The 12,073-nt window shown below is 40.0% G+C and overlaps 1 long non-coding RNA gene across 4 annotated transcripts in view; it reads left to right on the top strand.

Annotated features, from left to right (window-relative positions):
• The first annotated feature begins 8,215 nt into the window (after positions 1-8,215).
• The window catches only part of LOC105369844 (uncharacterized), a 310,508-nt gene continuing 306,650 nt past the window's right edge, over positions 8,216-12,073 (top strand). For all 4 annotated transcript variants that reach the window (XR_007063375.1, XR_007063374.1, XR_007063376.1 and 1 more), the window contains exon 1: positions 8,216-8,451. This is a non-coding gene — a long non-coding RNA (uncharacterized LOC105369844). The remainder of the gene's footprint in view (positions 8,452-12,073) is intronic.

The raw sequence follows: 12,073 nt of genomic DNA, 5'->3' as shown, positions 1-12,073 counted from the left end.
GCTTTTTTACATGTCTAAATCTTATGCATCGTTTAAGGCCCAGGTCAGACTGTATGACCTCAGTGAAGCCTTCTTGGACTCTAACAGGTAGAAATCCATTCTCTTCTTGCATTCTTAGTATAGACATGATCACTTCATAATTTGCAAGACTGTGTTTATATACAGGTCTCCTCTAACCTACCCCACAGTAAGCTCTTTGATTTCTAGGATCTTAATCATGTCTTCGCTGTTCATGTCACCAGTATGCCTTATACAAAGTAGGTGCTCAGTAACTATTTGTTAAATGAATAAGCTTTCATCTGGGTGGGATTTCCTCACAGTTATTTATTTTTATTCATTAAAGAAAACATGAAGAAGTATTAATCATTTGATTTGAGAAACATAGCATATTTTCCAGTAATTTTCTCCCCTTACTCTTATGCTATGCCAACGCAGGTGTCTTTTGAGGAACTCTGTATCTATTGATTTATTCAGAACTTATATCCCACCTTCTTTCAAAGGGATGTGAAAGAACATACTAAATTAAACCTAATGTGAAATAGGACAATTATGGCTAAAAAGAAAACAGAGACCATCTCAAAGAAGCAGGGAGCAGATGTTACCAGGCACCTGGGATGAGCTAATTACTATACTTGGTAACTGAATTTGGCTCTGCATTTCTTGGCAGCTAGAGCTGAAAGGAAACACATTGGGTTATTCATTCAGCAAACGTTTGTTGACTATCTTTGATAAATGGGGCACTGTGCTAACCCTGGGGATTCTAAAGTGAATAAGCCTGGGTCCCTGGCTTCAGCACATCACTTAGCCTGAGTTAAGTGACTGGAGATAGGTATGAGGGGCAATGGAAATACAGGGAAAGGACATTGACTCTGTTTGTAAGGGGAGCCAGGGAATGCTCAGGGAAGAGCAGATGATTTCACCAAACAGTTCAGTGAGGGAAATGCATTTCTTGTGTAAGGAACAGAATATCCAGAGACCAAGAGGCCTCAAAGATGTGTTTGTGGAATGATGCGTTAGGCGAAGGAGTAGCAGAAGGTGAGTTTAGAGGGTTGAGTAGGGGTCAGATTATGCTGGACTTCATATGCCATGTGGAAGAATTTGATGTTAACCTCTTGGCCAGCGTTTGCCAACATGGCTGCACACAGGAGCCACTGGGGAGCTTCCTGAATCAGAATCTCTGCAAGCAAAGACTGGGAATCTCTATGCCCATAGCATGCCTTGGTTGATTTTCATGCAGTCAGCCTTGGCACCAGTTATTGGATCAAGTTTGTGAATCGCTGTGGCATGGGCTAGAGAGAAACCCCTGCAAAAGTTTAAGCAGGGGGAATATCTTACAGATGTGGATTTTAAAAACTACCTCTGATGTGGAAAAACGGGTCAACAAGAGCAGACATAAGATTGGAGGAAGGGACCAATATGAGCTTATTTTGCTCACTTGATATGAGCACTGAGCACAATATCTGGCAGAGAGAGGTGCTCAAAAAGCAACTCATTGAATGTAAAAGCTGGTTTTACTTACAGTGTTCTGTGACTTCTGGGAACATGTAGCTGATTCTGGACAATTGAGCAGAAGTGAGATGTGATAGATGTATGGGGTCAAATAGTCCCAGGTGCAGATTTTAGTTTCATCCCTGGGCAAGTTGTTTTAAACCTCTCAGAGCGTAAATGGTGGGAAAAATAATCCTAAATTTGCATAACTTCTGTGAGGATTAAATGAGATAACACATATAGCATAAAGTGGCAGAGGACTATTTCTCTTTCTTTCTCTCATTACATTCATAAACAATAGCCAGAGATGCTTTGACTATCTCAGTTCTGTTCTGATTATCTGTTGCTGTATGTTCCACAGTGAGCAGGTCTATGCAAACCTAACCTCAAAGGCTGAGGGAGTTGAGAGGCTGAAGAAAGAGACTGACAAATGCAGTTTCTCTGAGAGGAACGTTTAAGAGAAACTTAGGAACAGAAGCCGTGTCTTGGGATGGCCTCTAGACAGTGGATCCCCATACCTGCCCTCCAGAGAGTATTCCTTATTTAGCAAGCTTTTTTTGGTAAAATGTGCAACTGGTCATGTCTTCAACCCTCTTGTGAAACTCACCACTGGGGAAGTTAGTTAAGTGTTTTTATGAGGGATTATCTATGCTACAGGCATTGCTTCTTTATGAGGGGTTATTTATGCTACAGGCATTGTTTCTTTATGAGGGGTTATCTATACTATAGGTGTTTCTTAACCTTGCTGCAGGAGTCAGACATCAGTCATTATGGTGGTTTTGCTTCAAGATGGCATTACTCTTGCCATGCAATAAGCTGTTTTCCTACACTATATAGCAAACTATACCAAACTTAGAAGTATAAAACAACAGCCATTTTACTCTACCGATAGATTATGTGCATCAGAAATTCAAACAGTACAAAGTAGTGATGACTATGTTGCTGCCCTATTATATTTGGGGCCTCAGCTGGGAAGAATGGTATGACTGGAGAGTGGAATTATCTAGAGTGCCCTGGTGGGGATGACATGAAGGCTAGGTCCAGGCAGGACTATCAGCTGGAACACCTGCTCACTTCTGAACTCTACATGTGAGTTAGGCTTCCCCCACAGTTTGGAGGCTTCAGGATATTTAAACGTTTTACATGGTGGGACAGGGCTTTAAGAGTTAGTGTGTGTTTTACCTTACACCACCACCATGGCAGAGATCGAGACCATCCTGGCTAACATGGTGAAACCCTATCTCTACTAAAAATACAAAAAATTAGCTGGGCGTGATGGCAGGCGCCTGTAGTCCCAGTTACTCGGGAGGCTGAGGCAGGAGAATGGCGTGAACCCAGGAGGCAGAGCTTGCAGTGAGCCTTGATTGCGCCACTGTACTCTGGCCTGGGCAACAGAGTGAGACTCCGTCTCAAAAAAAAAAAAAAGTCAAAAAACAATAGATGTTGGCATGGATGTGGTGAAAAGGGAATGTTTATACACTGCTGGTGGGAATGTACAGTATAACCTCTACGGAAAACAGTACGGAGATGTCTCAAAGAACTAAAAGAAGATCTACCATTTGAACCAGCAATCCCACTCCTGTGTATCTATCCAGAGGAAAATAAGTCATTCTATCAAAAAAAAAAAAAGAATTAAAAAACACTTGCACACATATGTTTACTGCAGTACAAGTTACAATTGCAAAGATATGGAGCCAGCCTAAGTTCCCAACAACCAATGACTACATAAAGAAAATGTGGCATATATACACCGGGGAATACTACTCAGCTATAAAAAAGAATAAAATAATGTGTTTTGCAGCAGAGGCATACAGAATGGTTATAACCATCATTGGAGACTCTGGGTGATGGATAAAAACAACATAATGGGTAAAATGTATACTACTTGAGTGACAGGTACACTAAAATTTCAGACTTTACCGCTATACGATCCATCCAGGTAACCGAAAACCACTTACACTCCTAAAGTTATTGAAATTGAATAGAAATGAATAAGTGTGTTTAGAAATAAGGTGGAAGCTACATGGCCTTTTATAACCTAGCCTCTGAAGTCATATAGTATCACTTCTACCTTACTTTGTTAGGTTAAGTAATCACAAGGCCACCCATAACTATGATGACAATACATAGACCTGACCTTTTATCAAAATAAATATCAAAGAATCTGAAGCCATATTTTAAAAGCACTGTATCTGAGCATTTTTTTTTAAAAAGACACTTGATAGGCTCTAGTAGTTTTTAGGTAGTTGTCCTTGTATTTATTTGCAGAAACCAAACAAGAAAGGTATGATTCTTTCTTTTTAAAAATAACGAATTAATTTTTAATTGACAAATAAAAATTGTGTATATATATAGTGTACAAAATGATATTTTAAAATAGATATATATTGTGAATTGGCTATATTGAGCTAATTGACATATAAATTACCTCACACTTTTTTGTAGTGGAAACACTTAAAAATCTAGTCTCTCAGTGATTTTCAAGAATATAATATGTTGTTATTAACTGTAATCTCCATATTGTTTAGTAGATCTCTTGAGCTCATTCTTCCTATCTGACTGAAATTTTCTGTATTTCAACCAATATCTCCCTCCCAACACACCACAGCCCCTGGGAACCACCAGTCTACTCTCTGCTTCTATGAGTTTGACTTTTTTAGATTCTACATGAATGAAGTCATGCAATATTTGTGTTTCTGTGCCTGGCTTTTTTCACTTAACATAATATCTTCCAGGTTCATCCACCTTGTGGCAAATGGTAGAATTTCCTTCTTTTTTAAAGCTAAAAAGTATTCCATTGTGTATGTATGGGACATTTTCTTTATCCATTCATCCACGGATGGGTACTTAAGTGGATTCCATATTTTGGCTATTATGAATAATGCTGCTATGAACATGGCACTTCGACATACTGATATCATTTCCTTAAATACTCAGAAGTGAGATTACTGAGTCATATAGTAATTCTATTTTTGATTATTTTGAGCAACCTTTATACTCTTTTCCATAAGGGCTATAATAATTGACATTCAACAGCGTGCAAGGGTTCCTGTTTCTCCACACCCTTGCAAATACTTGTTATGTCTTGGTATGATTCTCTCTTAACTGTGTTCTCTGTTGCTACAATTCTGTCTATCCCAAATAGTTGGCCTTGCTTACCCTTGTTTTTCTACTTTTCTCAAGTATATTTAAAGCAAACCCAGTCTTTATGTTGCATTAGGCACTATTTACAAACCTTCAGTCCTTCTGGGATTCTTTATAAAGAGAATGTAAAATATGTTTTAAAAAGAACTTAAACTCTTCAAAAGGTAAGGAAGCAAATAAATGGAACCCTTTCTGGGATTTGCTAGAGACCATAGCAGGAAGACTTCTGATTTATTGGGCCTCAGCTTCTCTAGGTGCTGAAGAGAATTAGAGGATTTGAAATAAAATGGGAGGATCATTGTGTCTGCTTAGAGCTCATCACAAAAAAGTGATGCATAGTTAATGACCTTTTGTGACAACCTTATTCTTGCAAACTAGTGGGGCCATATGTGCACTGCAGTGACAGATGGTCCCAATCTGCTGTTGCCAGATAATGGCTCGTTTAGAGGCTTGGGGTGACTGTGTGACAAGTCCCGGCTGGACCAGCTGTTTCTGTTGCAACAAATGCCTGGTCTGGCTGAATGAATGCAGGCCACAAACTTTAAAAGACATGCTTCTACTACATGAAAGTATCCACAATTTCCCTGGCAGGAGAATTGATTAATGTATTTCTTTGAAAATTTTTACACCATTTTCCCCCCTAACAGCACTGGTCCAGGAGTCAAGGAACCTGGGTTTTAATCTCATCCTGTTGCTAACGAGCTATGTAACTACGGATGCATCATGTAGATTCCCTGAGCTCCTATTTCTTAAAGTGGGTCTGAGTTGGATAATACTTGAAGTCTTTTAGTCTTTTGCTTTTTTAAATCTTTCAATCCAAATCTTGAACCATAAAAGTTAGTGTAGTAAGTACAAAATAGTATTTACAAACTTACCGAATATTGGGTTCTGTACTTAGCTCATAATAATATTGTTTCTTAACAATCCTGGTGGCCCAATTGCCCAATATTGTTATTATTCACTATGTTAAAGATGGGGAAACCAAGTAACAGAGAATCACATAACTTTCCTAGAGTCAAATGTGTGGGACAGGGCAAAACTGGGATTTGAACAGCTCCTCCTTTTTATCCTCATGCTATACTGTATACGCAGTATACGCTGTATACGCAGGTGAGATGGAAAAGTAGGCAAGGCAATATAGAATCCAGATGCAAACAGATGATATTGTGGCACCTCTGTTTCCTCTGCCTGCATGCTATCATTGGTATTTATATTTGTAATAACTCGGGGCACATGTCCTAATCTATTTCAAGACCCCACCAAACCAACCAGGGACTTGGCTCCCCCTAAGGCACCAAGGAAGCCCTGGGGAACCAGCCCACTGGTGTTCTCATGTGGTTTGTTTGGAAAAGCCCTACTGTTGTGTAACAGTAGGGGACCCTTTGGTATGGGGTGGGCTGGGTATGGGAGGATACACTTTCCTAGGAAAAAAGCAAAGGATTCATGGTATACTGTTAATGTATCTCTGGGCTTAAGTCACATGTACAGATTTGTATCTTAAGTCCACTTTATTTAGTTCACATTTCTGAAACCTCTCATTATATTGGTCTTGTGTTTCCTGGTCATATGAATTTTGAGACAGTGATCCCTTTCTGTGAAGAATGACCTCATTCTCCTCATGGAAAAATTACTTTGGCATTTGAGCAAATAAGAATTAAATTGAAACCTAAGCCATAGCTTCTCCACCCAGCAGCTCTTTGGTGTTTTGCTATGGACATGGGGTTATATTTTTTTCCCTAGGCTCAGGTTTATTTTAAGAATATAATATAAATATTGTTTAAGTAAATCCTTCCTTGCCAAACACAGGATGTAAAACTTGATCATGCTATGAAAAAAGACTAGATATTTAGCTGACCTTGAGGTTAGTGGATAGGCTCTTCACTGCCAGCTAAATTTTCAGCTGGGATTGGAGTCTCAAGAGGCATTTTTCTTGTTTGAAAGAAAGCCTGTGGGTATTTTCAAATATTGCAGTGTTGGGTTCAGGAAAGAAGAGGGTATTATGGCTCCCATATGATGCTGCCAGCCCTTTTGTATATTTGTTGATAATTTTACCTTGGTCACTTGTTCTCTTATCTGGCATTATTGGGTTAGCCCCCACTGTGCCTGGTGTGGAGAGGGTAGAAGAGTCCTTAGAGGCCTGCAGAAAGGAATGATGGGATTTAATCGATGGCAAGATCTTTAGCCCTGTGGTCACTCATACATAAAGCCTGCTTGCAGCCCTCAGGCATGCAGGTAATATCAGAGACCATTTGAATTAGGAAGAAGGAAATTGAGTCCAGGAGGTGAGGCCAGTACCTCCATTTAGTGAGGTTTGAGTGGAGCTAGGACAGAGAGATATATATTAAGTTGACATTTTAAATCTAAAAAATGATATTCTGTGGACATCAGCGAGCACAGGCAGCTGGGTAAATTAGTAAAGTATATCATTGCCTGCCTCTCACATCTACAGTTCATAGTGTTCCTGTGATTACAGTATAGATCAGTTACATTGACAGATGTGGTCTGGCCAATAAAGTTACTGTGTTACGTGTACTGTCTATGGAATATTCAGTTTAGGTTGGTGTTCTCTGCCCTACCACTGTGATGTCAAGGTTTCTCAAGCTTGTCCCTCTTGATGTTTCAGGTCAGCAAAGCCTTTGTTGTGGGGAGCTGCCCTGTGCCCTGTAAAAGCAACATCCCTGGCCATGACCCACTAGATGCCAATAGTATTATCCATTATGACAACCAAACATGTCCCCAGACAGTGCGAAATATCTATCCACTAGCATGGCAAAAGTGCCCTCCTCCCCATCTAAGAACCACCATATCAGATTCACAGTGACCCATAGGATTAAAAGAATGTATGAGTTTGTGCATGTTTATGTGCACACATACATACATACACATACACACATCCCCAAGTTGGGCTGATACGTTGAATAGGGTCTTTAAGCATCTGTGCATCATGTTCTGAGGTTTCTCCTTTAGTTATTTTCCATTAGTATAAATATAAGAGTGAATCGGCTAGGCACAGTGGCTCACGCCTGTAATCCCAGCACTTTGGGAGACCAAGGCGGACAGATCACGAAGTCAGGAGTTCAAGACCAGCCTGACCAACATGGTGAAACCCTATCTCTATTAAAAATACAAAAATTAGCTGGGAGTGGTGGTGCATGCCTGTAATCCCAGCTACTCAGGAGGCCGAGGCAGGAGAATTGCTTAAACCCAGGAGGCGGAGGTTGCAGGTAGCCGAGTTCCTACCACTGCACTCCAGCCTGGGCTACAGAGCAAAACTCCGTATTAAAAAAAAAAAAAAAAAAAAAAAAGAATCGATCCTCATTGGCTCAGATTTCTAGAACGAACCCTTCCTTTCTCCATTTTTGAAACAAAATGCCCACAATGCATCTATTCCCATGCATCATATTTCCATAGAGGAACAGGCACAAGGAACAGGAAATTTACTCCATGCCTTAGGAAGGCAGATATGGGAAGGAATACTTCCAGGTTCTCTTGGCCTCTTTAGTCATGCTCATTGGAGCAGGACTTTGGTGACTAATGAGTTTGATTAATGAACATCCTCTGTTACGCTCCTGCATGTCTGTTTATTCCTGTCTGTCAGCCCACTAAAAGGGTGCATTCTCATCCCCTTTCTGCCATGAAGCAAGTTGCTGCTCTGGGCAATGTCTGTGGACAGCGAGTGATGCCAGTGATTAGGGGGTAAGGCTGTATGATGGGGTGGCACATAAGGAAGCTACTGAGGCTGCAACGTGGAGATACACCCTTCAGTTTCGCTTCGATCAACAATACGTGTGTTATGATCTTCACTGGGCTCGGATTCAGGTCTGTCTGTCTGTTGGTTGTGAGCTTGGTTAGGGCAGAAAGCTGTTATTTATTAAAGGGCCATCTACCTTTAAACTCCAAGTAAAAGGACTGACTGTCTCATAAACATCAATGTGAAAGATGCCAATAGATTTTTTTTTTTTTTCAGTAGGGTCTTGCTCTATTGCCTAGGTTGGAGTACAGTGGTGTGATCACAGCTCACTGTAGCCTCGACTTCACAGGCTCAAGTGATCCTCTCACCTCAGCCTCCTGAGTAGCTGGGACTACAGGTATGCAGCACCATGCCTGGCTGATTTTTGTATTTTTTTGTAGAGATGGGGTTTTGCCATGTTGTCCAGGCTGGTCTCGAACTCCTGGGCTCAAGCAATCCTCCCATTTGGCCTCCCAAAGTGCTGAGATTATAGGTAGGAGTCACCATGCCCAGCCAAGATTTTAATATAACAAATATTCAAAGTTTTTCTGAATCCTGACAGCCAGAACTTTTAACCATATGTTCTAACTTTCAGGTAATTTTGTACACTGACAACTGATGTTCCAAAGAGACAGCAGAGTGTTGAGATAAAGATTATGAGCTTTGAAATCAATAAGACATGACAACAGTTCCCAGCTTGACCCTTTATGAATAGCTTTGGGTTAATTACTCAAGTAGCTTTGGGTAAAGTGAGGTCATGTACATGAAGTGCTTGCATGGTGCCTGGCACAGAGTGGGTGCTCAATAGAAGCTAGCTGCCATTTACCTTCCCCATGCCACACGACTCCAAGTTAGCCAGAGTGATCAGTCCCTCATAACAGCCATCTATTATGGCCATTAACATTTGTATTATTCTTTATACCTATTGAATGCATTTGCATATACAGTTTGATTTCTCTAAATCGCTGCGTGAACATGTGAGGTAGGTGCATGGGTGGAAGTGATCCTATGTCACAGATGAGCAAAAGCGGCTCAGATGGTTGACTGATTTGCCCCAGGTCAGTAGAGTCAGGTCTCAAACTCAGGTAGGATTCTAAATCCAGCACTCTTTCTTACAATGACATGACAAAGATTGTCATGTCTTACAACATTGTGTCATTCTGTTTGAGAAGAATGTTGGCATTTACTGGCTATTCTGACAGATAGGGAAATTGGAAGACAGAGTATATGCATATAAAATCCAAAGTAAGTGTTAGAATAACTTTTGGATATGTGTCCTTACATTATTTAAATATTGCTTCCCCACTAGGGCCTTTCCCTATAATGTTTTCTTTTCCTAAATGTTTACTTTCTCCATTCATTCATTCATTCATTCATTCACTCATTTATCATGAACATTTCTTGAATCTCTATTATGTATATCAAGCAGCATAACAGGGTCTGAGAGTACAAAAAACCCAAGATGGGACCTCTGCCCTCTTAGCATTGCTGGGGAGAAAGCTGTTCAGACCAATAATCATAATTACTGTGTGATGGTTTCCATGGAGGAGGAATATACCAGGTGCAAGGCAGCTCAGAGGAAGGAGTGATGGAGGAAGCCTGGAGTAGGTGAGGTCAGAGGTAGAGGCTTCTCAGAGAAGATGCTTGAATCGGGCACTGACAAGGGAGGAAGATCTGGTTACTCCTCTGAGCCTCAGCCATTCATCTGTGAAAATGATAATATTAATAACTACCTCATATGGTTGTTAATGTCTGTAAAGTGCTTAGATCCATGCATGGCAAATAGTAAGCCCTCTATTAATTGATAAATGGTGGCTGTTATTACTATCACAATTCCATTCAGGAAAAAAAATTCTATTTATTTATTTTAAAAAAATTATTTGTTTTTTTGAGACAGTCTTGCTTTGCTGCCCAGGCTGGAATGTAGTGGCAGAATCATGGCTCTCTGTATCCTTGACCTCCCAGGCTCAAGCGATCCTCCCATCTCAGCCTCCTAGGTAGCTGGGACCACAGATGTGTGCCACCACACCCAGCTAATTTTTAAGTGTTTTTTTGTAGAGATGGGTGTCTCACTATCTTGCCCAGGCTGGTCTTGAACTCCAGGGCTCAAGCAGTCCACCTGCCTCAGTCTCCCAAAGTGTTGGGATTACAGGCATGAGCCACCTCACCCAGCCAAGCCATTTCATTTTATAAATCAGACTTCACACAGGACAGTAGGATAAAGCAAATACCTTCAAATTCTTTACATGTTGTTTCCAGAGATGAGCTTAAAATGGCACATGTATTAGAGCCTCAATCCTAAGTAGTACCAAGGAGAATAATCTTTAAATTTTATTTATAAAAGTTTGAAATAACATGTTCCTGACCTCTTCTTTCTCTTCCTTTTCTTTCTTCTATTGTTTGTGACAGGCAATATTAAAATGGAGCTTTTCTAGTTTCCTGTCCAGAAGCTCTGCTGTTCTGCCCAAAGTGTTTCTGGTATATCTGAGGTAGTTAATCTTAGTGTGTCTTTTTCCCCTAACCTTTGGGATCTGGTTAACCTTTGCAAAATTTTGTTCCTTCACCATGGACATTTACATGTTTAATTGCAATGAGAAAACTTGGGAGTCACATGGCTTAATCCTTAAAAGCAAACTTGGTCCACAGGCAAATGGTTTCTCAGGGCAGTGCACTTCTGAAAGTCCTGAAGCTACCCTAGGCCTTTGTGAAACAGCTTTCTGTTAACTAACCATATTTATATATTTATTATTCAATTTTCTCTACTTTCTTAAACTGCCTCAATAAAGCAGAGCTATAGGCATTGGAGGTGTACGTATATGCTGTGGAAGGCATTGTGGAGAATCTTGCTGATTTCATGTTGTGCAGTAGTCAGTCAGGGATGAAATGACAACTCAAGAAAGACTCCTGAGAAAAATCATGACTAGGGTCACTTTGTTATGGCTTTTCTGGGAATATGGATTCAGATAAGCCAGTGGCCTAACATGAACTTAGCCCAGCATTTTATCTTACTTCCTCTTTGATAACAGTTCACGTCTCCAAAATCCATCATAGACAGCATGGCTCAATTGGAATTTTAAATATCCAGAATGCGTTAGTGTGACAGCTGTATCACATTTCTTCCCTTGAGAGAGAAAATGGTAGGCTGCCAATAGCAACACTGTTAACATTAGTGGGGCCAAAAGATAGACCACTTGAGGGAAAGTCTCAAAGCTTTGTGAATTAGGCATACATGAACAGAGGGGGTCTGTTTAGCCCTCTCTCAGGCTCCTAATTTGAATGTGTTACTCTTCTTCTTTACTTCCTCGGCTTATCTGATGATACTTTTGATGTGAAATTAAAAAAAAGTTGATGTTCATACATAATTACAACATATAAACTTGTCCTTTAAAAGCAATTACATTTTAAAATCACTACCTATTCTATTGGTGATGCTAATCTGATATTTTAAATTTTAATATAGTTTATTTTTAATTACATAATTGTCAGTTTTAACAAAACTAAAATTGCGCCAGAGGCAATGAAGGCTGATTTTCAAAGGAATTAGGTATTCTGGCAGTTACTGTGCAATATGTCCGCTACTGGAATTAATAGAAAAATACCTGTCTTACTTTTGATTGTATGGTGTATTGTTTGTACTGCCAAATCGGTGAACCTGTAAAAGATATGATACCATTAGGTGTGAGATTTAATGAAACTTTATTTCTATTATTA

The sequence above is a fragment of the Homo sapiens genome, chromosome 12 (genome assembly GCF_000001405.40).
Source record: "Homo sapiens chromosome 12, GRCh38.p14 Primary Assembly".
In the NCBI taxonomy this organism is placed as follows: domain Eukaryota; kingdom Metazoa; phylum Chordata; class Mammalia; order Primates; family Hominidae; genus Homo; species Homo sapiens.
Note: the sequence above shows the minus strand (reverse complement) of the source record. Positions and strands in the feature narration are given on the sequence as shown.